Source organism: Homo sapiens, chromosome 2 (genome assembly GCF_000001405.40).
Source record: "Homo sapiens chromosome 2, GRCh38.p14 Primary Assembly".
Classification (NCBI taxonomy): Eukaryota; Metazoa; Chordata; class Mammalia; order Primates; family Hominidae; genus Homo; species Homo sapiens.
In genome coordinates, this window is record NC_000002.12 from 80,341,194 (window position 1) to 80,364,182 (window position 22,989).

General features: G+C 38.0%; 1 protein-coding gene and 1 long non-coding RNA gene across 15 annotated transcripts in view; one reads left to right on the forward strand and one right to left on the reverse strand.

The window, feature by feature from the left end:
- The window catches only part of CTNNA2 (catenin alpha 2), a 1,463,404-nt gene that overhangs the window by 1,155,817 nt on the left and 284,598 nt on the right, over positions 1–22,989 (forward strand). The window lies entirely within an intron of this gene.
- Positions 872–22,854, reverse strand: LOC105374824 (uncharacterized). Its single transcript, XR_940286.3, has 3 exons — positions 22,743–22,854; positions 21,228–21,277; positions 872–2,261 (listed from the first exon to the last, which is right to left on the reverse strand). It is a non-coding gene; the product is annotated as an uncharacterized LOC105374824 (long non-coding RNA).

Consider the following 22,989-nt stretch of genomic DNA (forward strand, 5'->3'; position numbering starts at 1 on the left):
ATTTGTTAAATCATTGGCCACCCAAGCTCCAGCTCCTACCTCCTCCCCAGAGGTGGGGATGAGGGGCTGAAATTTACATGCTTTTAGTCATGGTTTGGTCTTTTTGGCAAACAGCCCCCATGCTGAAGCTATCTAGGGACTACCAGTCATCTCATTAATATAGAAAAGACGCTCATCACTCTAGAGCTTCCAAGCGTTTTAGAAGCTGTGTGACAGGAACAAAGGATGAAGACTAAATATTTTTTATTATACTAGAGATTTGAATAGATATTTATCCAGAAAGACATGCAAATGGCTAATAAGCACATGAAAATATCCTCAACATCATTACCCATTAGGGAAATGCAAATCAAAACCATAGTGAGATTCTACTTCACACCCACTAGGATGGCTATAATCAAAAAAGAAGATGGACAATAATAAGTGTGGGAGAGGATATGGAGAAATTAGAACCCTCACTCATTGCTGATAGGAATGTAGAATGGTACAGCTACTTTGCAAAATAGTTCGGTAGGTTCTCAAGTTGCTAAATATAGAGTTACCATATGATCCAGTAATTCCATTTCTGGGCATAATCCAAGAGATAGGAAAACACACATCCACACACACTTGCACATGAATGTTCATACAGCATTATTCACAACAGCCAAAAATTGCAGAGAACACAAATGTCTGCTGCCTGATGAATAGAAAAGCAAAATATGGTATAGCCATGCAATGGAATATAATTCAGCAATAAAAAAGAATGAAGTAGTAATGCATGCTACAACATAGACGAACCTTAAAAACATTGTGCTAAGTAAAGGAAGATAGTCACAAAAGACTGTGTATTGTACAATTTCATTTATATTACATATCCAGAACAGGCAAATCTAGAGACAGAAAGTAGATTAGTGACTGTCTATGGCTGGAGGAAAGGGTAGAGGGAATAGGAAATGATTGGTAATGGGTAACCAATTTATTTTGGGGAAGATAAAAGTGTCTACATGTAGAGAGTGCTGATGGTTGCACAACTCTGAACTCATTAAATTGTATGCTTTGAGTGAATTTTATGGCATATCCATTGCATCTAAATAAAGATGTTTAGAAAAATCAGCAAATAGTATCACCTGGAGTTGGGCCATCCAGACAACATATAAGTACATCTAAAATTAAGTCTCCAAGCACTGCAATTCTCATTTGCCCTCTGATGAACTTGGTGAACTGGAACTTGAAGTCAGTTCTTGTAAATAAACAATGCTGCTGCTGTAAGAGCTAATTGACAGTGTCGTCAGATTGGCTTTGCCAGGGAGCAAGCAGTCATGGTCATCCTGAAATTAACATACAAATTACAATGATAGATTTTATTTGAAGAGTTTTATTTTTTCCTGATTATAAAAATAGTTTCTTTCCAGGCAAATAAAATGTTTCATGCACTGAAATAATCAACTGCCACCTAATTTTTTTTAAAATCTTTCTTTTCATACAAAATTTCAAATTATGAAAAAAAATGCAGAGTGCCAGTTTTTTGTTTGCATGTTTTTTGTTTACTCATTTAATGTTTTAACAAAGACCTCAATTCTATTTACTAAATTTTAAGTGTATTGATTTTCTAGAGGGTATCGGAACAAAATACTACACATTGGGTAGCTTAAACAACAGAAATGTATTGTGTCACAGTTCGGGAGGACAGAGGTCCAAGATCAAGGTATCAGCATGGGAGGTTCCTACTGAAGGTTGTGAGGGATGGTCTGTACCATTCTTCTCTCCTAGCTTCTGGTAGCCTCAAATGTTGTTTGACTTGTAGGTGGTGATCTCCCTGTGTCCCTGTGAAAGAACGGAGTGATCTTTCTATGTGTGTCTGTCTCTATGTCCAAATTTCCCCTTTTCTATGAGGAAACAGTTACATTGGGTTAGGGCATATCTAATGACCTCATCTTAATTTGATCATCTGCAAAGACACTATTTTCAAATGTAGTCACATTCACAGGTACCAGAGGTTATGACTTCAACATCAGTTGGAGAGACACAATTCAATCCATAACACTACGTCACATTCTAGGGCTTATAATTTTTTAATATTCTCTTGGCCTAGCTAAAATTATAATTTTAATCAGAGGAATCCATTGTAATGAGGCAAGAATAGATGTTCTCTTAAGATCATCCATGTATGAATTGAAGTTTACCTGGGCTCCTTTGACTGACTTTGTCATTTTCCATCTGGTGACTTTTGATAAAAAAAAAAAAAAAAACACATAAAAAAAATCTCCAGTGTTCCAAGCCTGCAGAGAAAAAAGGATGAAAATGATTATATAATTGGGAAGTTTTATTATCCTCTGGTTTTGTGTCATTTACTTCTGTAACACTGTTTTTATCGACTGCCAAGAAATGTATGTGTGTTACCATTTCTTTGATCGTCTTGGCCTGCAAATTCAGGATAAAGGGCACAAGGAAAAAACAAACTTACCATTTTCACACAATTATTTATAAGAAAAATAGGACTGGAACCCATTTCTGATCACGATCCTTTTGAACCAATAAAAGGAATTACTAAAAATGTAAGGAGTGATGTTTTTTCTCTCGCAATTGGTACTTTGGCTAAAAATAAACCAGTCAAAAATAGAAAGAAAAGAAGATGGGTAAGGTCTGTTAAGAAACCTAAACAATATTCTGTGGCATCATTTCTATCAGCACACAAACATCTAAATTCTCCCTCACACACTTATATATATAACTTGACTTCAGTATCTCTCTAGCTATTTCCCCATTCCTTTATCCCTTTGGTAACAAAACTTCTTAAGGGAAGAGCTATTCCAGTATTTGTATTCACCCATTCTCTCTTGAGGCCTCTCCAATCAGGCTTTTAGCACCTGCACTCTGCCCCAACCTACCCTTGTGAAGGTCCTGAATCCAATGGAGGACTCTCAGCCCACCTCTTACTCACTATCAGCAGCTTGGGCACACTTGATCCTTTTCTTCTTGAAATACTTCTTTCAATTGGCTTCCGGAACTCACAAGCTCCTGATTTTCTCCTCCTTCATGGATTTCTTTTTTTTCATTCCATATTAGGTCCTTCTCATCTCCCTGATCTCTTAACTCTGGAGGGCTTCCTACCTCAGTCTTTGGACATTTTCGTAGATGCACACCCACACCCTTAGTGATCTTCTCCAGGGTCAGGGTTTAAATATCATCTTTTTGTTGCTGACTCCCAAATTTATGTCTTTAACTCAAGCTTACCTGCTAAACTCCAGATCCCTATATCCAACTACCTATGAAATGTCAACACATGAATGTTTTATTGGTGTCTCAATCTTAACATTCCCAAATGTCTTCCCTCAGTCTCACTCTGCCACCCAGGCTGGAGTGCAGTGCCATGATCTTGGCTCACTGAAGCCTCGATCTCCCAGGCACAGGTGATCCTCCTGCCCCAGCATCCCAAGTAGCTGAGACCATGGCCCTGCGCCACCACGCCCAGCTATCTTTTTGTATTTTTTGTAGATGTGGTGTTTCTCCATGTTGCCCAGGCTGGTCTTGAGCTCCTGAGCTCAAGTGATTCTCCCTTCTTGGCTTCCCAAAGTGCTGAGATTACAGGTGTGAGCCACAACACATGGCCTCCGAAACTAAATTAGTGACCATCCCTCTCTATCTGCTCTTCCCAAGTCCATCAAAGTCAACTCTATCGTCCTAGTGCTTTATCCCAAAAGCCTTGGGGTCCCTTCATCCTCTCATATTCCATGTCTAATCTATTAGCAAACTCTGTTGCCTCTACACTGAAATAGATCTGGGCACTTACTGTTTCTCACCACTTCCGATCACTACCAAATCTCCATCATTTTGCATCAGAATTTTTACAAATACTTCCTAATGGCTCTCCCTATATTCACCTTTGCCACCCTCTTTCCAGGTCTATTCTCAACACAATAGCCAGAGTGATCCTTAGAAAATCTAACTAGAATGAATCATTTCTCTTCTCAAAACCCTCCAGTGGTTTGCCAAAATCATTACAGTGGTCTATAGCTGCCACATCTGTGGCCCCCTCCCCCTTATCTCACAGATGTTACCTTCCACTGCTCTTCTTCATTCAGCTCCTGGCACACTAGCCCCATTGCCATTCTCAGCAATGTTCCTGCTTCAGAGCCATTTACATCTGCAGGTCCTTCTGTCTGGAAGGCCCTTGCCCCACTGACATTCATGACTTGTTTCTCCAGCCCCTCAGTCTTTGCTCAAGTGGCACCTCCTCCATAAGACCTTCCTTGTCTGTACTGTTCTAAATCACAATTCCCAAGCCTTGGCTTTTATCTCTGCTTTATTTTCTCGGTATCATTTATCATCATCTGGTGTGCTATCTATTTTACTTATTTTATTAATTGTTTGCATCCTCCCAGAAGAATGTAAGCTTCTAGGAGGCAGGGATATTTGTATGTTTAGTTCACTGCTATATCATCAGTGCCCGGAAGAGTACCTGATGCATGGTAGGGACTAATTTAAAAAAAAAAAATTGAATGAATGACTCAATAGTTCTTAATCTTTTCTAGCTTACAGACTATGAACTATTTTAAAATTTGATGAAATCTATGGAAACTTTTTTTTAGAAAAAGTTATACCCACATAATTTGTACTAAAATTCTAAAGCTAATGTATCTTCTTAAATTTTTCCAAGGATGTTTTCCACACCCAAGAACTCCTGTTTAATCATACGTGGCCTAGAGGAAGAGGCAAAGTATAAAGCCAAACTCTACTATTGTCTGTTGGATGATTGCTACTGCTTAAATCATGGTGGCCTGCAGATTGAGGATAAAGGGCATAAGGAGAAAATAATTTTCCATTTTCACACAATTATTTATAAGAAAGATAAAACTGGAACTCATTTCTGATCACAATTTTTTTGAACCATTTAATTGAACTACAGGAATTCAGATCTGTTTATTTATTTTGTTTCGGGGACTTAATTTCGCTAGCATAATTTTACAAGGGGGAAAATCATGTTTGAACTCTTTTGTATTAGGCCATTCTTGCATTGCTTTAAAGAAACACCTGTGACTGTGTAATTTATAAGAAAAGAGGTTTAATTGGATCATGGTTCTGCAGGCTGTACAGGAAGCATGGCTCTGGCCTCTGCTTCTGGGAAGGCCCCAGGAAGCTTTTACTCATGGTAGAAGGTGAAGTGGGAGCAGGCAAGAGTAAAAGAGAGAGAGTGCCCGGGGAGAGGTGCCACACACTTTTAAATGACCAGATCTTGTGTGAACTCAGAGATCTCACTTATCACCATGGGGATGGCACAAGCCATTCATGAGGGACCTGCCTTCATGATCCGAACACCTTCCACCAGGTCCACCCTCCAACATTGGGGATTACAATTCAACATGAAATTGGGGTGGGGACAAATATCCAAACTGTATCACCTTTGTAGCTTTCTGCTTATACTCCTCAAGTTCTTCCATTTTCCTTTCTCTCAGCATCGGAGTGCCTGATTTTATTGATAAGGGGTTCAGTTTGATCATGATGCATTTCCAAAGCTCCCTTTCTCTCTTCCCAAGGTATTTATCTAAATTTCACAAACCTTAAAAAGGAAATGCCTACAAGATCATGTTTGAAAGAGGTTTATGTAAATGTCCAGGAATGAAATTATTTTAATTTCTGCCTTTCCAATTTAAAATTCTGTATTCATCTCCTAGGTAGGTACCCCCATGTGTTGAATAAAATGGCACATTTGTTGCTGAGAAGTTCTAAGACAGCAGAATTTTGCCCTCAGCACTTCTTAAGGAAAATGGTCTCTGTGAATTAAGGATTTATGGGTGACCATGCTTCCGCTAGAAAGGTTTGAAGATCTGGACTTACATGCTGGGATCCTGTCTTGATTAAAGGCTGCAGAGAAGCTGATACAGTAAATAGTCTTTGCTATCTGTGGACTCATATTTCCTGCTAGAGATAAACCAAGCTTTGTGCTATATAGCAATCAGCGAGCACCGCAGTGGCAGATTCAGCGCTCTGCCCCTACTAGGCTGACACCTTCAATTGGAAATGGCCTCAAAATCATGAATGTTCACTTCGGAGTTACAGGACGTGGGGATGAGTTGAATGTATTCCTCCATGTGAACACTTGGTCACTTTCCCCACATTACACTGTAAAACCAATTTTTGTGGTTTTATTTCTCTGAGTCCTCATTAATGCCATTTAACAGGAAATTCAGCTAAAGCCCCAAGACAAGTGTAGAGATTTCGAAGAAAACTTGCTTTGGACTGCTTTAGCAGAGTGCCTGTGTATTATATATGTGCCCACGAATGTCATCACCAGGGGAGAGGAGCAGTCACATGAACGATCCAACCTAATTCATTTATATTTGATTTTGAAATGCACAGCGCTCCTTAGACTCTCAGTAACTTTTCATGGAGGTGGGAGGGGTAATAGTAAGAGGAGCATGTGTTCTTTGAGCTCACATTGCATAATGGAAATAAGCAACAAACTGTATCTGACATTCCATGTGGATACTTAGCTGTTGACACTGGATTTAGGGTTGCTACTCAAAGTGTAGTTCCGGAGCAGTAGCATCAGAATACCCTAGAAGCTTTTTGGAAGGCAGTTTCTGGTGTCCACACCTCAGGATCTTTATTTTAACAAGATCCCCAGCTGATTCATTTGCACATTATCTTTTCCTTTTTCTTTTCTTTTCTTTTTTTTTTTCCAGAAGGGTTGTTTAAAGCCCTGTTTCCCAAACATGGCTGTGCATTGGGAGCACCTTGGGGGGAGTTTTTAAAATACTGATTGACACCTGGGTCCTGCAGTCAGAGTGCCCGATTTTATTGGTATGGGATTCAGTTCGATCATGATGGGTTTCCAAAGCTCCCCAGGTGGTTGTAAGGTACAACAGAGTTTGAGAGCCTCTAGTTCAGAGCAGAACCAGAATGCATCTCAGGCACATGTGAATGGTGAAGAGTTGACAATTTCTGAAACAGACTTTCAATTTGTGACCTGGCATTCTACCAGCCACAAATTTTTATTTGTGTTTTATCCACTCATATGTTAGCTGTCTTCTTAATCACCAGAGACAAGTAAGTTATCTATTTAGTTTACTGCTTTTTCTATTTTATCTGCTTATTTGAAAATTGATGGATAGCTTTGGTTTATATGGTTATTCTAGACCAGTCAAAAGATTTGCTTAATTGAATTTCATTTCCGAATATGTTTTCAGAGGGAAGGTTATGGTCTAAAGAATGTCATTTAAAGGTCTTACCAATGCTATGCAGTAGTTATTTCTCTTAAAGCAGCAAGAGCTGAGATTTCAAAAAGTTAAATAACTGCCTAAATTGCACAGCCGGTCATTGGAAAAGCCAGAGGTTGAACTTGGCATTTGAAAAGTCTTTATCTGATTCCTAAAGCCCGTACTTTTCTGATCCTCCATGCTGTTTCTGGAAAAACGTAGCTGTGTATGATTAACAGCAACTTTAAAAAGAGCATTTCTGGTTTATTTTTGTGTAGCCTTATGCAGTGTACACATAGACATGTGTAGCTTTTTGAAATTTTGTGTAAGACATTCCACCAACCATCACTGAGTAAACGTAGTATATGCCCTTAGGTTCTGATTTAAATAACAACAAACAAGCAGAGAAGTTAGGGGAATTGAAGGTGACTGAGGAGCACAAGGTATTGAGATGTTTGTTAGGTGCGCTGGGTAGGGTAGCTTGAAAGAATTTGCAAGAGGTAGATGCTTCACTAAGAGCTGCTGCTCTAGTCAGATTGGAAGGAAGCAACAGAGGAAAGACAAGCTTTAGAAGAAAGGAAAAAGTACTACTATCAGAAATACTAAAAGGTTATTTCAGATTGTATATTGCAGCAGATGGCACAATGTAAAGGACAAATGGATTAACTTGCTGAGATTTTTGGTGTCCACTTCATAGCCAGCCATGAAAGGCACTTAACAAAGCAGTGACTTTGTTAAATGATAGCTTCCAGAACATGCCATCTGTGGTCCCTGACTGTTCTCATTGCCTGATGAAGACTGGAATTGTTCTGTCTGAAAATGCAGAGTCTTTCATCTGGTTGTTTTCATATCCTTGTGAATTCTTTTCTGAGATTGAATTTCTGTATATCTGAGAAGGACCTTGGCTTATAAACATCTTTGCTCCCAATGGCTTCATGTTTCTCCATAGCATCACACTGAGAGAATGCTAGCAAAAAGGCAGCTTTGTTGATTTGTTGATTCGTTTGTGTATTGGGGATGGGTATATTCTGGCATAAACTATTCTAAACTTGATGCTGAAACCCTAGGAAAGCCAAAAAGGAGATCCTGGTAGGGGAGTTCTGGCCCCAGGTTCTGATTACCATTTCCTGTTACAATCACCATGTTTATGAGTAATATGCAGAAGCAGAGATCTTCCCACCTTCCTTTTTTTTTCCTGTTTTCCAGGTCTCCCCTCAGTTTGTCTTTATTTCTTTAACTTCCACTGCCTCCCACTTTATTTTCACTGGTATCTTGTTATATCCCTAGATTCTACCCTTTCTTCTGTTCATTTTAATGAATGAATTAATTAAATCGATGGGGTCTTGCTATGTTGCTTAGGCTGGTCTTGAATTGTTGGGCTCAAGCTATCATCCTGCCTTAGCCTCCGGAGTTGCTGGCATTCAGGCATGAGCCACCATACTGGGCTCTCCTGTTCATTTTCTCTTCTCCCATCTTTTCACCTTTGAATTGCCACTCTCCTCCCTTATCTTTTTTGATTAAGAAGTTTTATTTCAACTTATTTGAAATTGTGATGGCTAGTCCAGGGGCTAAATTGAAGCTGATTTTCATACAGTCTATATTTATGAAAGATTTTCTAAAATATTTTATTAACAGCAACAATAAATTCTAGGAAGATATTTAAAATACAATGGAGTATGAATGAATCTTCAATTCTGTAGAAGCATCATTTAAATATAAATATAACTGCAGAGCAAGAGAAGGTATTCTTTAAACTATCATGCTTCAGATCTAGGGGTGTGCTTTTGGCATTTTTGAGTGGATAAATTTTCAGTATGAGGGAATGCTGGGCTTTGACAGAAAGTTTGGAATCCTTGGCCCTGAACACTAAATGCCCATAGTGCCAACTGAGTCATTTGACAGTCAAGGACATTTACACAGATTTCCGAATGAAATGGTAAGTTTTATTTTATTGTAGCATTCTTATTCTCTATGTTAAATCTAAAATAGTTTCTTTAAAACTGTGCCATCATTTAGATAGATGCCCGCTAATCATTTGTTCAGATTTCTTATGCTTACTGCAAAATAATTATGTAGACATGTCAGTGTTAAAGATCAAGTGCAACGCAGTTGCTACAAGAAGTGGCACATAGAGCATTCATCATTCTAGTTAAACACAAAGGAGCTTGTCCTGATTACATGAATGCTAGCTTTCTATTCCTTGAATGAACCTCTCCAAGTAAGACTAAGAGTCCATACCTTGTAGTAATTTATAATGTGAAAAAATATTTTTCTACCTAGGATTTTAATGAAAATTAAATAAATGAATGTGGTAAAGCACTTGGAGCCAATTTGAACTCTGGCATTGCCTTGATTATATCTGGAAGATAACTGCTTACCCACCTCCAGTGCCCCAACAACCATGGCTCAATGACTGTTTTCATGAATCGAGGAATTTGAGATCCTCTGTTAATATTAACAGCAGCCTCAAGCGTGACAGAAGTCTTCTAGATGTCTGAATCCAACACCTGCACTTTTCAAAATGGGGGACTTTAGTAAAAACTCTCATGTGACAATAATTTTTGAAACAACTCCAAATAAGGCATAATGCAGGGTTTAAGCTAACACTTCAGATGACCTAAAGCCTGAACTGAAGAAAGCAAGTGAGTTTGATCATTATTCTTTCTCGTGATGAGCTCTAACAGTCACTTATATGCATTTTGTTAGAACACTCCTACAACCATTGAGAACAGAATAAAAGAATAAAAAGAAACAGATTCCTACTATAGCAAGTGAGATGCAGGTTAAAAATGAAACACATACACACGCACAGACATACATTCCAGTTGCAAGTGTGATTAAATATGATAAAAATAGGGAACCAAAAGTGACCTCTTTCCCCACATAGGCAGAGTGGCTTTTTGAACTAGGAAGCATTTTGTTGTCTGGTCAATAGAGCCTAAATGTAATACTCGCCTATAGCCAGGGGAAGAACTCCATGCCTCCAACAGGTCAGTTTATTATTCCCTGCTGTGTCTGGGTTGCAGATGAGAATAAAACCTCTCACTTCTATGAGATGAGTCAACCTGCAGTTCACCATGGCCACATTCCTGGGAAAATAGCTTGTCAGGAGAAATGACTAAAGAAGACCATGTTTGACTTCAATGCTGCCCGATTGGTGAATTATATTTTTAGAGCAATCAGTTTAAATCCTACAGATTGAAATTGTGCTGCTCGCTAACTGCCTGGGTGATTTGGCATGAAATTTAATTTGCTTTAACATGCATGGGGGGTAAGCAGAGGGGCGTTAATTTCACATTTGAGAGTTGCTGCGGTACTTTGAAAATAACTAAAATCGTGGTATAATACTTTGCTCTCATTTTTCTTCTTCAAAACAGGCGTGATGCTCTGGCCAAATTCGGTACTTTAGTCTACCAGTTTGGGCTAATTTTATCTTTTTTCCATGATTCTCACTCTTTCTCACTTTAATGTCAGTATTAACTGAGCACTTACCATGTGCTAGTTACTTGCTTAGTTGATCATCTAATTAACATTCAGCATATTAGCCACTCAATTTTATAGTTGGGGAAAGTTGACAACTACTGACCATTTCCAGACCTTTCCTCTCTTTGCAGGGACACAGAGGGAAGCTCGTCTAATAGGGTGCTATGCTTTTGTTCTTTCATGTCTGTCTTCCCAGAGTGGAACCCTCATTCACCTTGAGTGTGCCCACTGCAAGGGAGAATTTTGGAATCAAGGGTTATGTTTTTAATATTTTTCGATGTAGCAATCCAGCTTTCAAGTAATATAAGTTAGTCCTCAAAGTCAGGTCATTTTAAAGCTATTTCTCTGACATGAGTAAGTCAAGGCTGAGCTAATCTGAAAATTTGCATGCTGATAACAATAAAACAATAAAAAAAAGTGCTTCTAGTGAATTAATGTCTTGAACCTACATAGAGAGCGACCTATAAAGGAGCCATTTTTTTTATTGCCTGAGGCTAATGTAATGGATATTGAAAATGCCTTACTACTCTGCCATGTAATCTACATGTCCCCAACTGATATTTCCGCTGGTCAGTATTCATATTAAATGTAAACTCAACTATAGTTGGTGATTAGAAAGCCAACTAGCAGCAGTCATTGATTCAGGCAATGAGTCTAATGCCAATTGTACTTTTAGGTAAATGTTTTGATAGGACACTTCATCAGCAGTAAGAATTCCTCCACTGGGATCTTTAAGTAAATACTTTGCTTCTAAGAATTGTAAAGGAATGGTTGCTTGGTCCCCAAAAGATCCTTTCTTAGGGCATGATTTATTATTTAATGGATTGTGGAAATATGCCATTTCTTGAAATGATAGTCAATGAGTACTATAAAAGATCTGAGGAGAACTATGTGCTTCATCTAATTAAGCTATTTATTTGAGTTTATTATAAGACAAATGTATCTTCAGTTGATTCCATTTTATGGAATACCAGGCAATGAAGATATTTTTAACTTCTTCCTGATCATATATGATCCTCCACTGTAATTTCCCATGAATTATGTCAGATCAAGAGGTTACTTTAAAAAAAAAAAATAAAGATTCCAAAAAAGATGTTTCTTCTGGGGAAGTAGGTTCATTACATCTATTAGGACAGTACATGTATCAGTGCTTGAGAAGACAAAACCCTCTAAATGAGTGTTCAGGAGGTTTAGATGTGACTATGTCTTCCCCAAGAAACCTAGTTCATCTTGTTCCACCAAAATGCTCAGGTCCTAGAGCATCTTTATCATGGCCAGAGCGATCTTGCTCATCAATCATTAGTATTTCCCCTCCATTTAGATTTAGATTTAGATTCTCCATTTAGATTATCAGGCCCCTGATAAATAGCAAAGTAGGTACTGGGGGTAGGGAAGGGGGTAATTTTCAAGCAATAAGGGACAAAATTCTGCCATGACAATATAAGACTGGATACAACAGCCCAAGAACTACTACCATTTTCTGACTTAAAGGAGTTATGTGGTAGCTTGGCATAAGTATGATGAAATTGTCTTCTGTTGTCAAATATCGGACATACCATACAGGTTAGAATCTTGTTAACTATTCTCTCCTTTCTACTATAACCTATAATATATAGAGCTACCATGTGTCCAGTTGAATTGGATACATTTAAATTTAAAAAATGTATATAACACAAAGATCACATATCCCTTAATTGAGGCTCTTTACTCCTTTATGCCACTGTGAGAACAATTCTGAACAAATAGTTAAGAGACAGATGTTCTAGACCTACCTCTGCCTCTCACATATTTACCGCATGAGCTCATAACAGGAGCATCTATATCATTACAAAACAATGATTATGCACCACTTCTACTTTTTGCACTGAGCTTTTGCCAAGATCGAATGAGATAACCCAGGTGAAAGTGCTTTATAAACTCTAATGGCATTATGCTTTGAAAATGTGACATTATTTAGTGCCCTGGAGCAGCAAGGTACTAAATAATATCTTAGTGGCTTGAATTAATACAGCTGCCAAAAGAGCCTAATTTAGGAAATTGCTTAAATATGAAAAAAATAAAACAAAACCTCATTCCACATGCATTTTTCACTGACACAAGCTCTCTGTGCTCCAGGTTTCAGGAGGTATGTTAATACAGCCAAAGGAGGGAGGTGGTTGCCAGGGTAAATGGAGGTAAATGAGAGAACCAGAGTTTGCCCCTGAGAATTTGGTTAAAGCAGTTAACCACTCACAACTGAGCCTCTTTCAGAACTTCTTCTTAACCGTCAACTAATGAGTCCCTTGCACTTCTTCGGTTGTGGCACTCTAACTTCAGGAGTACTCCTATCCAAACACTTTATTGAAAGAAACAAATAAGACAGAAATTAAAATGTCATCACGGGAGAATATCAGGGGATGGAATTCTAGAAGGAAGTGTACATGTAGGAGGGAGTTGGTGGGTGAAGATGGGAATATACTACAGAGGAGAGGAAGGGGGAGGATATGATAAAGGTGCTTGATTTGAAAAGTCTTTTTGTCCAATGCCATCATAACCAAATCACTCACCCACTAGAAGCACAACTAGAAAAGAGCATGAGTCATATGGCCTCCATTTTCCCTCTTGCAAACAGAGTGCATCTTTAGGGTGGTGTGGATTTCTGGAGATAGAATTTTGAGGGGACAAAGGTACAAGTAAACGCAAACAGAATTACCAGTGTTGTGAGGATTGTGAAAGCAAATGGGATAAGGAGTTTCGGGGGAGTTTTAGAAGAGAAGTCTTAGGGAGGATAGCATTTCCGTAATTTAAATATTTGAATACATGACTTGATCATGTGCAGAATGATAGGGAAATATATTTCCAACACAGCATGTGGGAGATTTTTTTTCTAATAAATAGAGCTGTTCTCTGGAAGTGATATTACTTCTAGATCAGTGTTTCTCAAACTCAGGTGCTAAAGCTGCCGGTCTGGGCCCATACTCTGGCAGTGAGGGTCTAGATCGCCCTTGCTTCAGTTGTATGCCAGAAGATCTGCTGTCAGGGGTGCTGGGTCAGGGATTGTTGCTCTAGATGGGAGGGTGGACAGAGAAGTGTGGGTGTTTCTTTCACCTCTAAACCACTCTAATACCTTGTACAGGGAGTGCACTTAGTGGTAGGATTCATGGTGTTTATTTTTCTGCCTCCCAATGTCCAGGGCACTGATGTGGACAGGATAAGGGCTGGTTTATCATGTGCTAGTTTACCACTGCAGTTTCTGTATTAGTCAGGGGCCATTTGGCAATGAATCTTCTTCCTAATTGTAGCAGACATCGCTATATGCCTACCACATATCCATTCTCTCTTTTTTTCCTTAGTAATATCACTGTCCAGCCTGGCAATATTCTCAGCTAAAAAGCAAAAATGTTGACTTTACAGACTCTCCTCCGGCTAGGAGAAGCCACATGGCATAGTTTTGGCCAATGAGATGTAAGCAGAAGCCATCTAGAACAGATCGTTTTTCTGATAAAAAGTCTGCATGCTCTTTTTGCTCTTCTCTTTTCCCCATCTTGCCTGGCATATGGGCATAATGTCTGGAGGCTCAGCAGTTCCTTTGTGATGATGAGGATGAGAGCTACATTCTAAGGATGATAGGGATGCCAACTCGACTCCCTTGGGCCACTGTACAAGCCCTGATTAGTCTTCTGAACAACTTCTTGCTATGTAAGAACAATAAGCATCATACTTATTAAGCCGCTCTTTATTGGGTTTTGGCTACACGCTGCCAGACACAGTCCTGGCTGATATTCTAGTGATCATCATGCCTCAGGCAGGTAACCTCTTGTCACTTTAGTTTTAGGGAAAGACCATTTCTCATCAGCAAAGATGCTCCGTTGTATATGATGAACTTTTCTATTTTTGTTCCCATTGGACAACTTTTTCTTTCTTTCTTTTTTGAACTCTTATATAATTTTAAAAGTCTTGTTTTCCATGAACATTAAACGACCATTTTTACTTAGGTAGAACAATTTTTACTGCCCAGAGGTTAAAATTAATGATACCCCAAAAAAGTATTCACCTTCCATGGTCTATATTGCTGGGTAAATAGCACAGTCACATTGTTCTTTTTTTTCTCCCAAAAAGATTCCATTTCTTAGCCTGTCCATTTCACTCTTCAAAATAATCACTGTCCACCTGCTGGATCCCTCTTTATCCTTGGCAACTCTGTTATGTCAATTATATAATAGTTTGGCCCTTTTTGGCTTTTGTTTCACTTTGTTTCTTTTCTCTCTCTGCAAAGCAGCCTGCAGAGCAATAAGATAGGGAACATGCCTGCTGGGCCTGATTTTCTTCTTGAAAATAGCTTTGACCAATGGTTAGTGATAAAAGAAGTTGGCTGTCTATAAAAGCCAAAAACCAGGTAAGTGGATTTAACCTCACATTGGCACAAAGGTGACTAATGGACAGAAAATGGAATCTGTATTTGCTTTGAACATAAACAGGGGCAGCAAGACATGGTAAAAACATCATTATACCTAGAGTGAGCTCACCAAGATTCCACACTGCTGATTCCAACTGCGAATCCTGCAATCTCTTAGCCTCTCTGGAACTCAGTTATAAAAGAGTGGTCTCCAAGGTTTCTTCCGGCTCAAACATCCTGAGCTATTCTCATCCAATAATAAACATTTATTGTGTACCCATGATAGGCCAGCCACTGTCCTGGCAATGGAGATGTGGGGATGAACCATACAGAGAGAAGAAACCAAGGTTTGAGAGTGCAGAAATGAGAGAGAACAGAAGGAAGAACTGTCATGGGAAAAAATAATAGAGGGGGGAAATGGAAACAGTAACTAAAATGTGCCTGGCCATTTTAATGGCCAGGATCATTGCAGCCATCATTAATCTCACCATCCAGGGAACCTCCAAGTATTTTTGTCGACACCATTCATTCAACACTTATCGGTCAGCTGTCTTAGGAAGTCTCTTTGGGGGCATTTTTCTTGTCTCTCAACTAGTTTGAAAGCACTTAGAGGCCAGGTACTTGTGTATGGCTGAATCAAAATACCTTTTGGTATCAAGTATAAAATAAACCAGGCAAGTGCTATGGATCTCCTCAAAAGGCTAGAGGCCTAGCGAGGAGTCATATTAATATTTTTGGATTGAATTTAGCTCACTGGAGAAGGTAGGAAGGTAGATAGCAGTGTTAACTTCAGGCAGGCTAACCACTCATAATCAAGCACAAACTGGAAGTCATATGCACCCCTTGAGGAGTGCTTAAATTATAGCAAAGAAAAAGGTCAGTGAATGGTTATGATAGAAAACAGTAGTTTTCTTTAATGAGTCCATGGTACCTGTTCATCACCACAGATCCCTGAAGGCTTACCTTTTAGTTACCTTGCCAGGAGGCATTCAAAATAGCATTTTTTTTTTGTTTTTTTTTTGTTTGTTTGTTTTTGTTTTTTTATTTTTTATTTTTTTTTGGTAAGCAAGGAAGGAAAATAGTCAAAAGGGGAAGGAAAGGAAAGAAAGAAGGTAGCATGATGTTCTGTAGATATAGTTCAGCAGTCTCATAGTCTATCTGTATTTGGTATTTACATTCATAGTGCCCCTCCTTTTGTGCATCTCCAGAGGCCAGGAAGTCTTTTCGATATCCTCATCTCTGACAGTGCCTATCATAGAGCCGGGCACAAAGCAGATGCCTCTATGGACAGACCGAATTGACAGATAGATGGAACTGGTTCTTCTTCCCTGCTCCCCGATTCCAAGTGGGACCAATGATGTGTGGCAGAATATAGGAAAAAGGAGGATCTCGTCAGTATCTTGATATTTCTTGAGGCCTGCATACTAAAGACAGAAGAATCAATATGACTCTTCTAGTCAAAACCACCTATTTGGCACTCGAGCACTGAGAATAAAAGACAAGGTCAGGGTTCCTGGTTCCAAGGACTTGGGCAAATTTATAACCTATTTGATTCACATAGATAATACCATCAGATACTTACCTTCATAGATTGTCAACAGCTACTGCCTGACCCAGAACTGTGCTAAGAGAAGCCATCTCTAAAATTGATTTTTTTTATTGACACTTGGTAATACAGGGTGCTCTTAGAACATGAGAGGGTAGAGGTGGCGCTTATCTTTGCATGTGACACTCAAAGCTAGATATAAGTGGGGCTGCCTAACTTCTAGTCTTCATGAAGGTAGGCTCTGTGGGGGCAGACACTATGTCCTTCTTGTTCATTCCTTATCTTTGTGAACTGGGGAAACGTCTATAGCCTTTTTGTGCCTTAGTTTTATCACCCAGAAAGTAAGGATACTATGAGTACCTATTCACAGGAGCGATGTGAAAATAAATTCAGTTAATGCTTACTTACAAAGTCCTTAGGACAGTGCGTGGCAAGGAGTAAGCCTTCAATAGTCATTAACCATTGCTTACTAGTATTTTAGGCTTGAAGAGTGTCTGGCATGTAATAGATATCAAAATATTTTTGCTAAATAAATGTATGAATGAGTTCTACGTCAGTAGTATTCTACTTTTTTTTTTTTTTTTTTTTTTTTGAGATGGAGTTTCGGTCTTGTCACCAAGGCTGGAGTGCAATGGCGCAATCTTGGCTCACTGCAAGCTCTGCCTCCCAGGTTCAAGCAATTCTCCTGCCTCAGCCTCCTGAGTAGCTGGAATTACAGGTGCCCACCACCATGCCTGCCTAATTTTTGTATTTTTAGTAGAGATGGGGTTTCACCATGTTGACCAGGCTGGTTTTGAACTCCTGACCCCTCAGGTTATCTACCCGCCTGAGCTTCCCAAAGTGCTGGGATTATAGGCGTGAGCCACTGTGCCCAGCCACTACTCTACTTTTATGTTTAGCTTGTACATCCCTTAAATAATTTTTGAAAAAGTATGTATTTCCTTGTATATCTTTAAGTAGATATATAAAATGTTATATCTCAAGTCTAACCAGTTGCAAAGGATGCACTTTCTAGTATATTGAATATGTTAACATTGTAAAATAAAACTCTCACATCACTCTTTTGAAATATAACAAACGGAACAGAAATATCACTTCACCCATTAAAAAAAAACATGAAGAGGTTCTTTATAACATTTTCAAATATTACTTCATTCTTTTTCCTTTTTGCATTGGGGTTTCCATTCTATCCTATCACAGAAATTGATTCTAAAGCAATATATTTTTAGAATTGAACATTTTTATTGATTTTTTGACTCCATTACTGTAGGCTCACTAATGAAAAAAACAAAACAAAACAAAAAAAACCTTTTTAGCCGCTGAGTATGATGGCTCACACCTGTAATCACCAGCACTTTGGGAGGCTGAGGCAGGAGTATTACTTGAGCTCAGGAGTTCAAGACCAGCCTGGGCAATATGGCAGGACCCTGTCTCTAAAATAAATAAAAAATAAATAAATAATTCCTTCTATCCATCCATATCAAATTGGATTGATATCATTATTAAAAATAAAGTGGCCATATGTGTTTAAGTGAATTTTAGGACTCTGGTTCTACTGAGCTTTTTGTCTACATTTATGCCGATGATACACTGTCTGATATGGTTTGGATCTGTATTCCCACCTAAACTCATGTTCAGTTGTAATCCCCAGTGTTGGAGGCGGAGCCTGGTGGGAGGTGATTGGATCATGGGAGTGGATCCTTCATGAATGGGTTTAGCACCCCCCCTTTGGTGCTGTTCTCATGACAGAGTTCACATGAGATCTGATTGTTTAAAAGTGTGAGCACCTGCCCCTCTTCCTCCTGCTCTGGCCATGTAAGATGTGCCTGCTTCCCCTTCACCTTGAGACATAACTGTAAGTTTCCTGAGGCCCCCCTAGAAGCAGATGCCACTATGCTTCTAGAGTTTGTGGAACCATGAGCCCATTAAACCTCTTCTCTTTATAAGTTACTCAGTCTCAGGTATTTCTTTAGAGCAGTGTAAGAATGGACTAATATGCTGTCTTAATTATTATAGCTTTTCACTAAGTTATGAAATCTGATGGAGTGAATCTTCCAACCTAATTTTTCTTCAACATAATCTTGACTCCTTTTTTCTTATATTTCCATATCAATTTAGAATCAGACTGTTAATTTGTACCAGAAACACAAGCTATTGTGATTTTGATTGGAATTATATTTAATCTGTCAGTAAATTTGGGGATAACTAACATCTTAATGAAATTGAATTTTCTTATCTTTTACCATCATATAGTTATCCATTTATTTACATCTTTAATTCCTTTTAGCAAAGTTTTGTAGTTTCTAATGTAGTGGTCTTAAACACCTCTCATTAAATTTATTCCTAATTTTCTTATTGTTTTGAAGGGATTGGAAGAGGTAGTGAAACAAAATATTTAAACTGATACTTAATTTTTTCTGGTGAACCATAAGTTTATATATGCTGAAAAGTTCATTGTGCATTGAGCTATTTCTATGATAAGTAACACACAACTGATCAAAACTATTAACCATTTTGATGGATAATTATGACACACCGTATATTTTTTGAAAATACATAGTATAGAGAGATGGAGGTAGCTATTAGGGTACTTGGATTAAAATAATTGTCTAATTATCCCTTTTGGTAGTACTTAAGGGTTTTTTACACATCCGAGCAGTATACTTTAGTAAGATATAGAATAGGTGAGAATTGTGCCTTATTTTGTAAAATGGGAGAGTGGTAAGAGTGAAAGTGGAAAAGGAGAATTTCAACCACAGGAGCATCTTAGACTAATTTTAGGTCATAATACTAACAGAGTTTGAGGATCTAGCAATTGTTTTATTAAAACTGTCCTGATAGGGTACTCTATGATTAGTCCCTGCATATGCTTAGGGAGTACATGTAAGTGGCCCTGCTTACAAACCACTTCTCTAGAACAGAAGTACAAGTGAATCAGAAGGGTGACGTTTGCAAATGTTTTATTTTTTTAATGAAGTTAAAGTTAATCTACAATGATAGCATTTTGACTTACTTGCTTTCTGATAAGATTTCTCATGTCATGGAGATCTATGCAGAACCTGGAGTTTGTCGCTCTAAACCACTAACTTGAATATGCTACTGTTAATGTTCTATTGATACTTGCTATTGATTATTATTAATTTGTGTTTATTATTATTAATTATTAAACGTATTATAGTGGGTTTTTTTTAAATAGATGATTTTCCAGAACCTGATTTTTACCCTGGGAATGGATGGTATACACGGATGTCATATGAACAAGGTCCTCACATTTTTTTCTCCCAGCTGGCCTTCATTGCCTCCAACCCCTTTATTTTGTTCTCCCATTAAGAGCTGTGTAATACCAATTTTTGTAGGCTACAAATTGGTTTTCTAGCAGATGGAACATCAACCTGAAGAGGTAATGGATCTTTATTACTCAAACTAGGTCAAATATTCAGGCCTTCTCAGTAAATCATAAGAATTATCTGAGAGTCCTCATGAGGAAATAGAAATGCATTTCTTAATAGTAATACGTGGTTAAAAATTAAACAACAACCATAACTTTACTTGTTCCTCACTTGGGCCACACCATTATATTAGTTTTTTTACTCAGCGTGGGTGCAAAATGGATTGTAGCTCACTGGGTTCTGAATATATAACAACAAAAACTGTCATTCTTGTTTCATAAAGTGAAGGTAATCCTAAGGAGTATGGTTAAAGTAAATGTTCACAAACTACATGTAGTTTCTTGAATGGCTTATTCTTATTTCTAAGACAACACATCAGTAGTTTGACTTCCATTTGGGTGACACATAGTACCAGTTCCCAAAAAAAGGACATTTTAAAAATCATGACATGACACGGTCACAACTAGAAAAATACAGCAGGATTAGTAGCTGTGATGAATAGGGAGGTGCAAGGGATGGATTCTGGAGGCCAGGCCTGAACTCCATCTGTTGTTTATTATGTGTGTCACCTGTTGGGGAAATATAATTTAGAACAAAATCTCCTCCTTCCCCCCAAAACCTCTCCATGAAGGTGGAAGAGAAAGAAAATGGTTTCATTGTTGTATAAGTACTAAACAAGAATATGATGTGCATCATAGACCGCCTACTAAGAGATTGCAAAGACAAAAAGAAATCACACCTTTTTAAAAAGCCAAATAGATGCAACCCATCCCATACATGTTCTTAAGATAAACTATAACTAGTCCTCTAGTAAGAGGACTTGACAGCACCATTTGTCACACACAGTTCAACCTGAATTCACTTGGTAATTAGGGTGACCATCTGTTTTAGCTAATTGACTTTGTCTCAAAGAAAAACAAACTCTTATCTTTATGACATGAGGCAGTTTTGCAATTTGGAGAAAGGAACCTAAATGAAGTTAGGTTCCTACCCCTGCCACAGAACTGGTTGATAAGGATGCTTTCTTCCTTGATAACATTTCAAAGAGATAGTTCCCAGGTCCTTGAGAAAGACACTCCTCCATTATAAGGCTGGCAAGAGGCTTATTTAACTTTGAAAAAGATTTACATACATTTCAAAGAGACTGAAAAATAATTTACAAGTTTTCTAAAGCAAGAAAAAGGATGAGGGAGAGGTCTCTTCTCTATTTTCAACAGAGAGAATTATTTACTTTTTCTTTTTTGATTTGTGCTTACCCTTACACATCTTAGGAAGCCACTCAATCTTCTTGAATCTTTTTTCTCATCTGTGAAAGGGGAGTAATAACACTCTTAATTATTTCACATCACACAGGGCCTAAGAAAAGTAACTGTGCAAAACTCACTTGTCATTTTAGATGCTGAAATTACTAGAAATGAGATATCTTTACTGGTTAATACATGAATCTAATATTTAAGTGGAAACTTAACGTTTTTAAAAGAGTCTCTCTCTACAAGGCCAAGAATCTTTTTGCAACAAAAATGTGTCAGCTCTACATTTATCGGTTGGAGTTGAACATTTACTCTCTCTGCACGTCTTACCCATAAGAACCAGTTTTCTGTAAATGTTGTGTATGAATTCTCTTGTTATCAATGTGTTCTTGTTCCATAGTAGTATTAACAATAAATGTTAGGAACTGGGCGTGGTGGTGCATGCCTGTAATCCCAGCTACTTGGGAGGCTGAGCCAGGAGGATTGCTTCAGTCCAGGAGTTTGAGGCTTAGGTTTGCTATATATCAGGCCTGTGAATTACCACTGCACCATGGCATTCTAGCCTGGGCAACATAGCAAGACATCGTCTCAAAAAAAAAAAAAAAAAAGTCACAGTAAATTCAAGCTGTTCTAACTTATTAACTAATTCATCTAGATATATTTTTCAGAAATTGTATTTTTATAAAGACATGTCCTAAATAATTATTTTGGTTTAAAAAATCCTGCAAGATACATTTTAATACAAAAATAAATATAAGTACAAGAAATGAATTTAGATATGGTGGAAAACAAGCACAGAAATATTTTTTCTTCAGAAATGATTTTTAAAAACATGAAGAAAAAAAAATGATGCCATTGCTTGAATTCAGAGGTACTTCGATTTGACAGATTTGACATATCATGAGATAAAGTACAAGCAAAGCAAAAATAACTAAAAATAGCTCCATGGTAATGCTAAGTATAAGAATTAAATTGAAGATTGAAAGACTCAAAAATCTCAAGCATGCTACATGATTTTACCAGCTCTCTCAAATAAAGCCGGGCTCAGTAAATGCTCTGGTGACTGAAACAATGCTAAGATTGGGCTTTGTTCTTCAGACATGGAATTCATCACCTTCGTGGTGATGAATCATTGGTGAGGCCCTAATTATTAAACAAGATGTCGAATCAAAGCTATCCTCCTCTATTTGCGTGAGGATTTCTGTACTTAGAATTGAGTCCTGCCACATTCTTATAATGGTGCGTGCATATGGGTAGCAGGTATACACACCAATAAATAATGTGGCTAGTATGATTCTGGAAATTACAATGCCAGTTAGAAATTATTCAGAATGGAATAAAATATTTAAAACCCCTGCTATAAATCTTAGCCAGGAAATAAATTTTCATGAGACCAGTGATTAACCCAATAGCAAAACGGAATTTATATCAACCATTCATTAATCCCATTTCCCTTCTCCCAATACCATTAATTAAGTGTCTGTTCAATTCCCATTCCTGTGCTACACTTGTGTCGCTTACCCAATTACAGCTAATTTTCTTGCATGCAACGGGAGTGGTAATAGCCTCTAACAGTTGTTGAAATGTGGTTCCTAGCGTTTACTGCAGTGTGTCATCCTTAAATATTCTCTAACATGTTTTCTAATTCTGTTTCTAAAATCGAGTTTGTGTGGGGAGGACTGAGTTGAATACAGTAAGTGGGTGGTTTCCTTCCTTTCAGGTCCTCGGAGACCCTTATCTGATTTAAGTTTTGCCTCAGGAGAAAGCT